The following is a 14,357-nucleotide window of genomic DNA, read 5'->3' on the forward strand; positions in this document are numbered from 1 at the left end:
CGAAGGCTTAGAAACACAGAGAGGGGTACGTGAGGAGCCCGCTGGAGATGGGCGAGCTGCGGAGCCCACGGAGGGGCCAGCTCCAGCGTGAAGGAAGGAGTAGGAAGAGAAAAAAGGGCGATATACCGGGCCGCTGGAAAAGGAAATTAGGGCCCTGGGAGGGAGCATCCGTTGAACCTCGAGATTTTTATTGACCTTCACTTCAGAGAGGCTCCTGGCCATAGAGGAGGTTACCGGAGCCCTGGAACTAGTGCTAAACGGGCTTGCGGAGGCACAGCTTGATAGGGGAGGTAAGCTGGGGTTCAGTGAGTCACCTTCTTTCTTCTTCACCTGGCTTCCATCTGCAGGAGCCGCGATGTTCCCCCTTCGGGCCCTGTGGTTGGTCTGGGCGCTTCTAGGAGTGGCCGGATCATGCCCGGAGCCGTGCGCCTGCGTGGACAAGTACGCTCACCAGTTCGCGGACTGCGCTTACAAAGAGTTGCGTGAGGTGCCGGAAGGACTGCCTGCCAACGTGACGACGCTTAGTCTGTCCGCGAACAAGATCACTGTGCTGCGGCGCGGGGCCTTCGCCGACGTCACACAGGTCACGTCGCTGTGGCTGGCGCACAATGAGGTGCGCACCGTGGAGCCAGGCGCACTGGCCGTGCTGAGTCAGCTCAAGAACCTCGATCTGAGCCACAACTTCATATCCAGCTTTCCGTGGAGCGACCTGCGCAACCTGAGCGCGCTGCAGCTGCTCAAAATGAACCACAACCGCCTGGGCTCTCTGCCCCGGGACGCACTCGGTGCGCTACCCGACCTGCGTTCCCTGCGCATCAACAACAACCGGCTGCGTACGCTGGCGCCTGGCACCTTCGACGCGCTTAGCGCGCTGTCACACTTGCAACTCTATCACAATCCCTTCCACTGCGGCTGCGGCCTTGTGTGGCTGCAGGCCTGGGCCGCGAGCACCCGGGTGTCCTTACCCGAGCCCGACTCCATTGCTTGTGCCTCGCCTCCCGCGCTGCAGGGGGTGCCGGTGTACCGCCTGCCCGCCCTGCCCTGTGCACCGCCCAGCGTGCATCTGAGTGCCGAGCCACCGCTTGAAGCACCCGGCACCCCACTGCGCGCAGGACTGGCGTTCGTGTTACACTGCATCGCCGACGGCCACCCTACGCCTCGCCTGCAATGGCAACTTCAGATCCCCGGTGGCACCGTAGTCTTAGAGCCACCGGTTCTGAGCGGGGAGGACGACGGGGTTGGGGCGGAGGAAGGAGAGGGAGAAGGAGATGGGGATTTGCTGACGCAGACCCAAGCCCAAACGCCGACTCCAGCACCCGCTTGGCCGGCGCCCCCAGCCACACCGCGCTTCCTGGCCCTCGCAAATGGCTCCCTGTTGGTGCCCCTCCTGAGTGCCAAGGAGGCGGGCGTCTACACTTGCCGTGCACACAATGAGCTGGGCGCCAACTCTACGTCAATACGCGTGGCGGTGGCAGCAACCGGGCCCCCAAAACACGCGCCTGGCGCCGGGGGAGAACCCGACGGACAGGCCCCGACCTCTGAGCGCAAGTCCACAGCCAAGGGCCGGGGCAACAGCGTCCTGCCTTCCAAACCCGAGGGCAAAATCAAAGGCCAAGGCCTGGCCAAGGTCAGCATTCTCGGGGAGACCGAGACGGAGCCGGAGGAGGACACAAGTGAGGGAGAGGAGGCCGAAGACCAGATCCTCGCGGACCCGGCGGAGGAGCAGCGCTGTGGCAACGGGGACCCCTCTCGGTACGTTTCTAACCACGCGTTCAACCAGAGCGCAGAGCTCAAGCCGCACGTCTTCGAGCTGGGCGTCATCGCGCTGGATGTGGCGGAGCGCGAGGCGCGGGTGCAGCTGACTCCGCTGGCTGCGCGCTGGGGCCCTGGGCCCGGCGGGGCTGGCGGAGCCCCGCGACCCGGGCGGCGACCCCTGCGCCTACTCTATCTGTGTCCAGCGGGGGGCGGCGCGGCAGTGCAGTGGTCCCGCGTAGAGGAAGGCGTCAACGCCTACTGGTTCCGCGGCCTGCGGCCGGGTACCAACTACTCCGTGTGCCTGGCGCTGGCGGGCGAAGCCTGCCACGTGCAAGTGGTGTTTTCCACCAAGAAGGAGCTCCCATCGCTGCTGGTCATAGTGGCAGTGAGCGTATTCCTCCTGGTGCTGGCCACAGTGCCCCTTCTGGGCGCCGCCTGCTGCCATCTGCTGGCTAAACACCCGGGCAAGCCCTACCGTCTGATCCTGCGGCCTCAGGCCCCTGACCCTATGGAGAAGCGCATCGCCGCAGACTTCGACCCGCGTGCTTCGTACCTCGAGTCCGAGAAAAGCTACCCGGCAGGCGGCGAGGCGGGCGGCGAGGAGCCAGAGGACGTGCAGGGGGAGGGCCTTGATGAAGACGCGGAGCAGGGAGACCCAAGTGGGGACCTGCAGAGAGAGGAGAGCCTGGCGGCCTGCTCACTGGTGGAGTCCCAGTCCAAGGCCAACCAAGAGGAGTTCGAGGCGGGCTCTGAGTACAGCGATCGGCTGCCCCTGGGCGCCGAGGCGGTCAACATCGCCCAGGAGATTAATGGCAACTACAGGCAGACGGCAGGCTGAACCTCCGCCCGTCCGGCCCGCCCATTCCCGACCTCCACCTAGGGTGCCTGGGAGCAGCAGTCTAGGGCTGGCAGGACTTATGTCCCCCGTCCCCAACCTTCACCTACTCCTCCCCCTTACTACTCCCCAACCTTGACTACCAGGGACTTCTATTAGGGAGTGGGCCGATTTCACCAGTCCCTGCTACCCACGGCTGCCATTCTCCCTGCGGGCTGAATCCCCTTCCCCGCCAAGCACAGTGTTTATCTTACCCCATGCAAGACTCCACCCGCAGACGGTGGGCGATATCTATGTCCCTCCATTCCCGTCGCGATTATCTGCGAAATCCACCCCGCAGCCCGCCCCACCGTGGGCTCTGGAGCCAGAGGAAACGAGCGAAGACTTTGGAAACCTCGCGGTAACGCGGTGGTTTCGGGGGCCAGCCAAGGCCAGTGGAGTGCTGTGGGGTCCCACCTCGACCCCTCCTCCTCCCTTTCTTTCTTTCCTTTTTTTTTATTTTTTAATTTTATTTATTTATTTATTTATTTTTTGACGGAGTCTTGGTCTGTCGCCAGGCTGGAGTGCAGTGGCGCGATCTCGGCTCACTGCATCTTCCGCCTCCCGGGTTCAAGCGATTCTCCTGCCTCAGCCTGCCTAGTAGCTGGGACTACAGGCGCGCGCCACCACGACCAGCTAATTTCTTCTATTTTTAGTAGAGACGGGGTTTCACCATGTTGGCCAGGATGGTCTGGATCTCTTGACCTCAGGTGATCCATCTGCCTCGGCCTCTCAAAGTGCTGGGATTACAGGCGTGAGGCACCGCGCCCGGCCCCTCCTCCCTTTCAATCCCTACTCCCAGAAGCCGGGATTCGTGGCAACCCCTAGTTTTTAGTTCCAAAGCCTCCTGCCGGCAGGGAACCAAATCCTTCTGTCCTCCCACCCCCACCCCACTTCTGGCCAGTTGGAGTCCAGCCCGGTGCCTGGGGCGCCTTTCAGCTCCGCGCTCAGATTTTCCTGTTTTCGTTGTTTTCAAAGACAGCGACATTTCGGGTCTGGTGCTAACACCCCCTTCCCAGCCTCTGGGAAAATCGAGTGTGTGTGTCGGGGGGTAGGGAGGGAATGCGTTTTCTGTCGTCTCTCTCCTAACTTAAAGCGCCGCAGGACCGCGCGCCCCTTGGCGGCTGAGCCTGTGGACTTGGTCGCGGGCCAATTTCGTTGTCCGTGTGTTGGGCTTTCCGGAGGTCTGTGCGCCCAACAGCGCCGCTCCCGCGGCTCCACCCGACCCAGACCCTAGCTGGAAAGCGCCGGAGGCGGAGGAAGCTGACTGTGGCCTCCCGGGCCGCGGCTCTCTGGAGGGCTCGCGCCCTAGTTCGCACAAAGCCTGCTCGTGACTGTGCGACTGTGCGACGGGATCCGGATGGAGCCGAGCCCCTCCGTCCTCGCGTCTCGGTCCTCGCGTCGCCCCGCCCCACCCGCCCCTGCTTCGGCGGGAATCGTGTTTGCCCGGCGTGTAGTCCCTGACAAGCGTGCCCTGTAGGAGAAAAGTCTGTGTCCTGTGAAGTGTGACCGTGTAGTGTAGGGGGGCGGGCGGGGGGGCGGATGGGCGGGGAGGGAGGGAAGGGGAGGGGCGCGGCGCGGCGACTCGGGGCGGGGTTCTTTTTTCCATTTTGAAAGAAAGCGTCGGGGTTGGGGTGGGGGGAGTTTCAGTCCTCGGGATCAGCCCTCTCCGCGAAGCGCAGCACAAGCGCGGGCCTGGGACGGAGTAGCCCCCCGGAGCCCGTGCCCTTTTCTAAACGCGTCTGTATGCAGTCAATAAAACAATCGATTTGAACTGGGCTCGGTGACTTTTTGTCAGGGGACAGAGGGAGGAGGCCTGGGCGATGAAGGAGGAAACCGCGGAAGGAAGGAGCCCCCCCAGAGCCTCCCGTTGGAATCTTTTGAGTGATTTCCTGTTTGCGTGACCATCCTGTGATTTTTTTGCCAGGTGTTTGCACCCAGCCCTGCTCTTAGTGTCTCCAACTCCAGGGTGGGGTGACAAAAAACGAGGGCAGGCTGCAAGTGAGTAGGGGGAGGTTGCAGGAAAGGAAGGCGGGTGTCTGCAGACCCTGAACACAGGGAGTCTGAGTGTGCGTGCAAGTATATTTGCACTCAAGGGTGTGCGGCACCCTCTTTCACTTGAGACTGTCTGTGTAGTGGGGTGTGGCTGTATATGGTGTCACACTGCCCAGTTTCTGTGTCTCCACATCAGCCTTTGAGTTCCCTGAGAAGCCGGTGGGAAGAGGATGGGATTCATAGGGACAAGACCGCTGTGGCTTGCACAAGAGAAGTCACAAATAACACAAAGTACAGAGCGGGCAAATGATGTAAAGCAGGAAAGGGGGAGAACCTGGCCAGGCCGATTGCCCAGAGCGAGCCGGCACGTTTGGCCTGGGAGCCAAGTGTGTGCGTTGTGTGGGTGGGTGGGGAGCACTCAGTGAATGATGCATGCACAACCGTCAGGGTGTGCCAAGGGGGTGCACCTGGGGAATCAGGGTTGAAAACACACTGATTTCATAGTCCTAGAAAGGGGCTTTCTTGGGTGAGGAACAGGAGAGACAGGGGGATCAAGAAAGGAGACTGTGCTCCTGGCCAGCCTAAAACACACGGGTTGGGCTGCTGTGTGTCTCAGCTGAATCCCCCTAAGATGGGAAGAGGCGGGGAAGAGAGATGGAAGAGGAAAGCAACAGAAATGGGAAGCAGATAAAGATTCTCTCTCTCCCCTCCCTTCTTCCTGCTTCCAATTTCTTGTCCTCTTTTGCTGTCTCTGTGGGTCTTCCTAATTGGACCAGTCCAGGCTGGCAACAGGCCCAAGTTCCAATGCTCAGGGTCCTACCCCAGCCTCAGGTCTGTCCTCTGGCATAGGTGGTGGCTGTGACACTTCTTGGGGCCTGAGCCCAGATTCCCTTCCCAGACCAGCAAAGCTGTTTTCTTTCTTTTTTTTTTATTTTTTTATTTTTAAAATAGATCAGTTTTATTCTGCTAGTTCCATAAAAACAATGTAAACACAAGCGTTCTGTACATCTTCTTGGTGAATTCACATAATGCTTTGTTCCCTGATCCTTTAACCTCCTCGTCTTCTTCCAGTCATTTTCTGTTTGGACCACTGGCCACAGGAGTGGAGTGGGGTTGGGGCTTAGGAGAGAGCAATGTGGCTTTTTCGTATGACTTGTTTTATTGCTTGCCCTCTCAGCACACTCCTGTTACTCCTAACACAAAGTCTGAGATTTAAGCCCTTAAACCTGTAGGTTTCACCATCAGCTTTTTCTTTTTCTTTTCTCTTTTTTTTTTTTTTTTTTTTTGCATAGGCATTACTAGGGATGTGAATGGGAGACTGGTATAGAAAGTGGTGAGGAGCCGAAGCCAAGAAATTGCTTTAAACACAAGATGAAAACGCTCTGTTCTGTACACAAAGAATCACCTAATACTGGTGTGAGGCATCTCACTTAGCTGTGGAGAAGTCCTTGGAATTAGATCTCAGAAAGACAGTTCCAGCTTTAAGACAGTAAAACCTTTAGGCAATGGGCTAATTGCCTTAAAGGAAAGAAGAGTTCTACTTGAAAGAGCTTGCAGGTGAGAAATTGTCCTACAAAGATTCTTAGAAATGTTAGCGGAGATAACTGACATGGGTAGCTGTGGGCCAACCAAGAACTGTCAACAGCCCGATCTCATAGCAAAGCTGTTTTCAAGAAAAATTCCCTTCTGAGGGCCACAGCCTGAGCCCTGCTCCTGGTCACAGCCCAACACTGCAGTCCACCCCACTGCCTGGGACACAACTCAAGAATATTATCTCTTAGGAAGACACCTGTTTTGTTCTACCTGCAAATCCTACCGCTGAGCACGGGGCAAGGACTGGCCCAATTCCTAGGGCCTGTTTAGGAATCCAGCCACGTGATTGCTTCTGGGAACAGGCCTGGCTGGGCCAGTGAGTGCTCAGCAGTTTTGGTGCAACTCAATCATCTGGTCATGGGTCTCTTGTGGGAAGACAGGCCCCTTCCTTTCCCTCCCTGTCCTAAGAATTGGGGGCCCTCCTCGAGACCCTCTAGGATCCTGAGTGCCACTAGGGCAGGTGGAGAGGAGGTGAAAGCTCTGCCCCTCTTTGTCCAGGGCCACGTATCCTAATGGATGAGCAAATACTACTCAGCTAGACCTTGTGCCTTCTGGGCTTGGCCAGGCCCAAAGGCTCCAACCACAGGTAGGAATGAATACGTGTTGGAGGCCAAGGACCAGGGTGCTGGGACACTCTGCCAACTGCCCACTGAAATCCCAGCCCTCTCAGGAAAACTCTAGTTTCTGTCCAAATGTTTGGCCAATGCACAGAATGGTCCCCAGCCTCTGGCCTTCCTTCCTACCTCTTTTTAAATGTAATTAATTTAACTTATTTAATTACATTAAAATAAAATGTCTTCCTTTCATTTCCTCTCCCTCATTCCTCTCTGTTCTTTTTTGAATTGTTCCAGTTCAACTACCAATTTGAGGTTGAATTCATTTTCACAGTGTCCCCATCAGGTGGTTGTAAAACTCTGGCTTATACTTATCCAGAGATGGGGAGCTCACATTCCACTCCCCGCTTCCAGGGAATCAGTTGTTTAGCAGTTTAAAATGTGTCTCTGCCTGGGTTCCACCCCTCAGGCCTGACTGCCACTGGCAAGTTCTCTGGGAGAACCTACCAGGTGTGGAGGTGTAATCTTCACCTCTGACCCTCTCTCCCTGGCTCCAAGGCTTTCCATTCAATGCAACTTTTTTGAGCCTTTCCTGTATGCTTCATGTGCTGTGCTAGCTTCAATCTCTCCAGTGTGTCTTGCTGTAAAACTTATTTGGATACTACATGGGAATGGAGTCTAACGGCTTGAGGAGTGTGTGTGTGTGTGTGTGTGTGTGTGTGTGTGTGTGTGTGTGTGTGTGTCTTGAGAGACCTGGAAAATGGTCGGAGAATGCAATATGACAGCAGTAGCCTCAGAACTCAGAGCAATTTATCAGGAGCAGTAATTCTCTGAGTTACAGAAACCAGATGGCCAGGATGTGGCCTTGAATCAGATCAGAAACCTGTCTAAAGAAAGGTTATTTGAAAGGAGTGCCTCCTCCCCCTAAATGTTTCCTAAAGATCAGCTGAAATGAGAACCATCTTGAAGATCATTAAAGTCCATTAATATAAAAGAACAAAGGAAGGCAGGGCTTCTTTGAGAAAGAAGCAGCTGGGGTAGGGTCCTCTGGTCCCAGATCTTGTGTCTGGAATGCAGCCCTCCACCCATGACATCAAAATAACAACCACAACTAAAGCTAACATCTCCAAAGATTCGTTGTCAGTACATATATGGCCTGTGACTTCCTGGTAGACATCTCAGTTTTTCCTCCTTGATCTCAGGGAAATGCATTTTGGTAGGTAGAGGGAAAGGAGTGGCATCTTGCTATGACTACCCTGCCCCACATTTGTTAACAGAGCCCCAGTTATGAGACATTCCATAGGGAAAAAGGGACCTGCTCTCTGCACAACAGGAGGTGTCGCCTGCAAAGAAAGGACCATGACTATGTAAGCACAGAGCAAGGGAAACTGGGGGATCTCCTTTCTCTGCAGAAATCCAAGCCTGTATTCTGCAGAAAGCCAAGCCCTAGTACCAGGACATAAGAAAGGCCCCTTGTTGAGGCTATAAATTGCCAAGTCTGACCTAACAAATACCTTTACCTTATACATTTCCAACATAAAGGTATAGATAAGAGAAATCCTGCTGGGCAGTTCGGAGGAAGCAAGTGGAGCCATTTCAGTTGTAATGTGTCAATTCATTGATTACATTTGAAATGTAGCCACCCACACCTATCTGTTCAATGATAAGATTTTGCCTTAGGACTCAATAGAGAATAACATTATATTGAAAATGAAAGATCTGCTGTGACTGGCATATAGAAGAGATTAAATTTTAAAATGTTTTGCAATATTCGCATTTTGTTCAAAATATGACCAGTGTTCCTAATGAGACTTGATATGGATTTTTTAAAAAGCCATCCAAAGGCCCCATGATGGGCACAAAAACAAAACCAACTTGTTGGGTTAAATTAGTTGGAAAGACTTTGTATCATTCCATTGTTGAATAAGTAATTTATGGGATTTAAAGACAGGACGATTTTGAAAATTGTGCTAATTGTGTGTGCTTTGTTTGAACATGTGAATGTAAGTTTAATAATTAAGTTTAAGTCCACATAGAACAAGGAGAGAAAAAGTGTTTGTATTTTTATCAACTGTTTACTGCTTACATGTATTCCCTTGTGTATTAGGAGTTAATTTGGTTTTGGCAAATTAAATGCATTTTCTCCCAGCAACATTCTCAAACTGTTTCTTAAATTGAATCTAAAAGCCATTCAAGGCATCCAGCCATTTGAGAGAAAAATTTCTATGATTATATAAATTACCGAGGAACTTCGTAAGAATTGATCATTGTCGAAATGGGGAGAGAATAGGAATGGAGAATTAATTATCAAATGCGTCTTAATAATAGAGGCTTGTCACACATCTAGACTAAGAATGCTAATAGTCACCACCTAATATTAGTATAAATACTAATAATACCAATAGTGGCTAACATTTATTGAACTCTTACTATATTTCAGGCACATACTATGGATCTTACAAGCATTATTTTGTCATTCCTTATAGTGATCCTGTGAGGTAATATTATTATTCTAATTTACAGGCAAAGAAACCAAAGAGCACAGAGGGTTAGTAGTTTGTTGAAGATCACACAGCTGGCAATTTGCAGGGTTGAAGTTTGTCCTTTTGTTATCTGACTCCAATGCCAGAGATCTTAGTCACCAAGCCAAACCTCCTCCTGAAGCCTCTACAAACCAGTGAAGTATAGAATAACATATTTTCTATATGGTTAAATTTGCGGCTAATTACAGAGTTTGTCTAGAAAAAGGATTTCTCTTGCTGTTTCTCTTATTTCTCAAAATAGCATTTTTTTTTTTCCTGATTATAAAAGTAGTGCAGGCCAGGCGCAGTGGCTCATGCCTATAATCCCAGCACTTTGGCAGGCCAAGGTGGGCAGGTCACTTGTGATCAGGAGTTTGAGACCAGCTTGGCCAACATGGTGGTCTCAAACTACTATTTCATGTCTCTACTAAAAATACGAAGAAATTAGGCAGGTGTTGTGGTGTGCGCCTGTAATCCCAGCTACTCTGGAGGTTGAGGCAGGAGAATTGCTTGAACCCGGGAGTTGGAGGTTGCAGTAAGCGGAGATCAGGTCACTGCATTCCAACCTGGGCAACAGAACAAGACTCTGTCTCAAAAAACAAAAAAAAGAAAAAAGAAAAAGAAAAAAAGAAAAGAAAGAAAGAAAGAAAAGAAACAAATATAAAAATAAAAGTAATGCATGCTTCAACTAGAATTGTCTTTGGTTGCCATTGGGAATGTAAATGGGCATAGCCACTTTGGAGAAATATTTGGCAATCTAGAAACATTAAAGATACACATACGTCTGACTCAGTAATCTCACTCTTGGGTATATACTCAATAGAAATGAATGTTTACATCCATCAAAAGACAGAAGAGTCCTTTGGTGGATGCAAGTGCAACGATGTTCATAGCAGTTTTATTTGTAATAGCCCCAAATTGGAAACAACCTAAATATCCAACAGTAGAATGGAGGAAGTAACCTGTAGTATATTCATACCCTGGAATACCACAGAGCAATGAAGAACAAACTGCAGCTACACACAACATGGATGTCATCACAGTGAGTGAAAGAAGAAAGACACAAAAGATTATGGAATGAGTGATTTAATTTAAAGGAAGTTCACATACAGGCAAGACTAATTTTTGGTGGAAAAAGTTGGAAGGTACTAACCGGGATTAGGAGAAGGCTCAAGGGAGACTTCTGAGATTCTAGAAATGTTCTATACCTTGATCTGGATGGTGGCTACATGGGTGTATGCATATGTAGAAATCCATGGGCTACACACTTGAGTTGTATACTTTATTGAATTTGTTATACCTCAATTTGTGTGTGTGTGTGTGTGAGTATGTGTGTGATGGAGTTTCACTCTTGTCGCCCAGGCTGGAGTGCAATGGCGTGACTTCGGCTCACTGCAACCTCCAGCTCCCTGGTTCAAGTGATTCTCCTGCCTCAGCCTCCTGAGTAGCTGGGATTACAGGCACCTGCCACCACACCCAGCTAATTTTTGTATGTTTAGTAGAGATGGGCTTTCGCCATGTTAGCCAGGCTGGTCTCAAACTCCTGACCTCAGGTGATCTGCCTGCCTCGGCCTACCAAAGTGCTGAGATTACAGGCATGAGCCACGGTGCCCAGCCCTTATTATACCTCAATTTTTAAAAATGGAAAAATAACCCTTGGAAATCAGGCACCAAAGTAATACGTGCTCCTTATTGAATAGCACTGTCCGATACTAGCCACTAGCCACATGTGGTTATTTACATTTTAATTTTAATTAAGGTGAAATAAATTTTAAAACTTGTTCCTCAATCCCACTAGCCACATTTTAAGTACTAGGCACATTGCTAACAGCAATTGTTTATTTGGACAGCAGAGCTATAGAAAATTTCCATCCTAATGGAAAGTTCTATTGCTAGTGTTGTTATAGGAAATTGAAAAATATAGAAGTGTATTAAAAAAACAATTTATTATTTATAATTCCCTCATCCAAAAAATAATGTATTAACATTTTATGTTAACTTCTAATTTCTTTCTAAAATAAATTTTATTAAATTACAAGAGTAACATATGAATGCATTCTTGTCCTAAGATAATTAAATATTGATAAACTGAAACTCTCTTTGACCATTGCCTGCAATCCTAGAGCTCTCCCCAGTGGTAACCACTCTTACTAGCGTACTATGTACCTTTTTATTTTTTTTGAGATGGAATTTCGCTCTCTCGCCCAGGCTGGAGTGCAATGGCGCTATCTTGGCCCACTGCAATCTCTGCCTCCTGGGTTCAAGCAATCCTCCTGCCTCAGCCTCCTGAGTAGCTGGGATTACAGGCATGTGCCACCAAGCCCAGCTAATTTTTTTGTATTTTTAGTAGAGACGGATTTTCTCCATGTTGATCAGCTGGTCTCGAACTCCCAACCTCAGATGATGCGCTCGCCTCGGCCTCCCAAAGTGCTGGGGTTACAGATGTGAGCCACCACGCCCTGCCTGGTACCATGTATCTTTTCAGACCATTTTCGCAGGTACTTATAAACATGATGTCTGTGTATGGAAATACACAGCAGAGCCATTAACATCACCCTGACTCAAGGAGCTTCCACCTGGTTCAGTTCAGTCTCCCGAAGTGCACAGGAAGGGTGTTATCCCCATCATCCACATCCCACCCAGTGTCTAGGGCTCTCTTCCTATTCATCTCGAGCTGCTGTGGTCCTGGGATATTGTGAGAGGGGACGTCACATGGGGCAAGTCAGATGGTCACTAGGTACAGTCACACTGCAGAACTGGCAATGCCACTCCTGTTGGGTGTTCCTAGGGCAAGGTGTAACTGTAAATCCAGGGGAGCCATCACTCCACACTGTCTGTATGAAGAGCTAGCCTGTGGTGCAGCTCTCTAGCCTGAAGGTGGTGCTTCCTAAGGTAGAGTCTAGGAGGTCTGCAGGCATGACTCAGCTCCCTCTGGGTCCTCTCGCAGAGGTCCTTTGCTGCTTTCATGAATGCCACACTGGAGCATGGAACCCTTTTGTGAAGCTGCCCCAGATCCCCTTGGTACCAACATCATCATTTTCTCTCTGGTATAAGGCACAGGCTCCGTCTGACTCAGACCAATGCACCTCTCAGTGTTTACCTTTTGAGTTCAATTCTGAATTCACGAATTTTTAAACTTTCTTCATTTTAATGTATGCATTTACAGCTATTAATGTCCTCCTAAGTACTGTTTTAACAGTATTCCCCAAGTTTTAATAGGTAGTGTTTACATTGCCATTTAGTTTTAAATATTTTATTTCTGTGAGATTTGTTCCTTGACTCATGAATTATTTAGACATGGGCTGTTACATTTTCAAATGTATGTGTTTTTTTTTCTGACACTTTTGTTTTTGATACCACTTGCATTACCTCGTTGTCAGAATACAGACTGGGTGATGCTGATTATTTGGTAATTATTAAAACTTGCTTGGAGGAATAGGATGTAGTCAATTTTTTGCAAATGTTTATATAAGTTTGAAAAGAATATTTATTCTTGAATTATTGGGTTATGATTTTTATATTTTAATTAGATCAGGCTTGTTAATATTATTGATTACATATTCTCTATTTCCTCACTTAATTTTTTGTTTGCTTGTTTTATTAATTTCTGAGAGAGGCATGTTAAAAATCTCTTATGATTTTAGACTTGTCAATTATTTCTTGTAATTCTGCTCATATTGCATTGTATATTTTTGAGGCCATGTCATAAGGTGTATACCTTTTTGGTTAAATTTTTGTTGAAGTCTAACACACGTTCAGGAAAGTACTTTCATAAAGAGAAAATACCTCTTATGACCAGTACCCATATCAAGAAAAGAAAATTACCAGCACTCCTGCAGCATCTTCATGCTCCCTCGGAGTCACTCCTCCATCCCCACTCTCCTGACTTCTAATATCATAGATTAGTTTTGCCTGTATTGAAACCTCATATATTCCAGGAGTCTTCAAAATGTACACGAAAAATGCATATTATGAAAAAACTAACCATGATTTCAAAATGTTTTCACTAACTTGTACTAACTTGTTATAACATGTCTGAACAGGATCTAGTTTGAGGCTCTAAGAAGGATAAGATATGAGTTTGAAAAGAACCTCCATTACAGCAACATGAGTTCTGCTAAAATCAAAGCAAGAATGAAAATCAAATTTATGGTGAAGCTTGGGTGGAAGAATTATGAAATCATTGATACCTTAGGAAAAGCTTATGGAGACAATGCCCCAAAGAAATCAGCAGTTTACAAATGGATAACTTTTCTTAAGAAGGAATAAGAATATATTGAGGATGAAGCCCACAGCAGCAGACCATCCATGTCAATTTTTGAAGAAAAAAATCTTTTTTTTTTTTTTTTTTTTTTTTTTGAGACATGGTCTCACTCCTGTTGTCCAGGCTGGAGTGCAATGATGTGATCTCAGCTCACTGCTCCCTTGACTTCCCAAGCTCAGGTGATCCTCCCATCTCAGCCTCCAAGCAAGTAGCTGGGACTGCAGGTGCGTGCCACCACGCCTGGCGAATTTTTTGTATTTTTAGTAGAGGTAGGATTTCACCATGTTGCCCAGGCTGGTCTCAACTTCCTGGGCTCAAGCGATCCATCTGCATCAGCCTCCCAATATGCTAGGATTACAGGCATGAGTCACTGTGCTGGCCAAAAATTAATCTTGTTTGTTCCCTAATTGAAGAGGACTGACAATAGCACAAAAAATATCCAATGCCGTAGACATGTCAGTTGGTTCAGCTTATACACTTCTTACTGAAAAATTAAAGTTGAGCAAACTTTCCACTCACTGGGTGCTGAAACCATTGCTCCTAGATCAGCTACAGACAAAAGCAGAGCTTTCAATGGAAATTTTAAACAAGTGGGATTAAGATCCCTGTTGCATTCTTCAAAGAATTGCAACAGGAGATGAAACATGGCTTTACCAGTACCATCCTGAAGACAAAGCACAATCAAAGCAATGGCTACCAAGATGTGGAAGTGGTCCAGACAATGACAACAGATGTTTGGGATGCTCAAGGCATTTTGCTTGTTGACTTTCTGGAGGGCCAAAGAATAATAACATCTGCTT

At 48.9% G+C, this 14,357-nt stretch overlaps 1 protein-coding gene across 15 annotated transcripts in view, besides 3 other annotated features; it reads left to right on the forward strand.

Moving 5' to 3' along the window:
* ISLR2 (immunoglobulin superfamily containing leucine rich repeat 2) overlaps positions 1 to 9,427 on the forward strand; it is a 41,509-nt gene extending 32,082 nt beyond the window's left edge. For 13 of the 15 annotated variants that reach the window (XM_024450003.2, XM_024450004.2, XM_011521841.2 and 10 more), the window contains one exon: positions 348 to 4,403. In XM_024450003.2, coding sequence (XP_024305771.1) covers positions 356 to 2,593 — 2,238 coding nt within the window. In that variant the 5' untranslated portion in view covers positions 348 to 355 and the 3' untranslated portion in view covers positions 2,594 to 4,403. Of the gene's footprint in view, positions 1 to 347; positions 4,404 to 5,916; positions 7,024 to 9,294 lie in introns of those variants that run through there. The other 2 variants (XR_931875.4, XM_017022446.3) reach the window with 2 other exon arrangements.
* Positions 3,431 to 4,122: an enhancer, noted in NCBI's record as "H3K4me1 hESC enhancer chr15:74428171-74428862 (GRCh37/hg19 assembly coordinates)". NCBI's record gives its function as "activates a minimal SCP1, AML or CMV promoter by ChIP-STARR-seq in naive H9 embryonic stem cells {active_cell/tissue: H9 hESC(naive)}" and the evidence as "EXISTENCE:reporter gene assay evidence [ECO:0000049][PMID:30033119]".
* Positions 8,074 to 8,605: an enhancer, noted in NCBI's record as "OCT4-NANOG hESC enhancer chr15:74432814-74433345 (GRCh37/hg19 assembly coordinates)". NCBI's record gives its function as "activates a minimal SCP1, AML or CMV promoter by ChIP-STARR-seq in naive H9 embryonic stem cells {active_cell/tissue: H9 hESC(naive)}" and the evidence as "EXISTENCE:reporter gene assay evidence [ECO:0000049][PMID:30033119]".
* Positions 12,180 to 12,239: an enhancer, noted in NCBI's record as "active region_9743". NCBI's record gives its function as "activates an Ori minimal core promoter by ATAC-STARR-seq in GM12878 lymphoblastoid cells {active_cell/tissue: GM12878}" and the evidence as "EXISTENCE:reporter gene assay evidence [ECO:0000049][PMID:35858748]".

The sequence above is a fragment of the Homo sapiens genome, chromosome 15, assembly GCF_000001405.40.
Source record: "Homo sapiens chromosome 15, GRCh38.p14 Primary Assembly".
Lineage (NCBI taxonomy): Eukaryota > Metazoa > Chordata > Mammalia > Primates > Hominidae > Homo > Homo sapiens.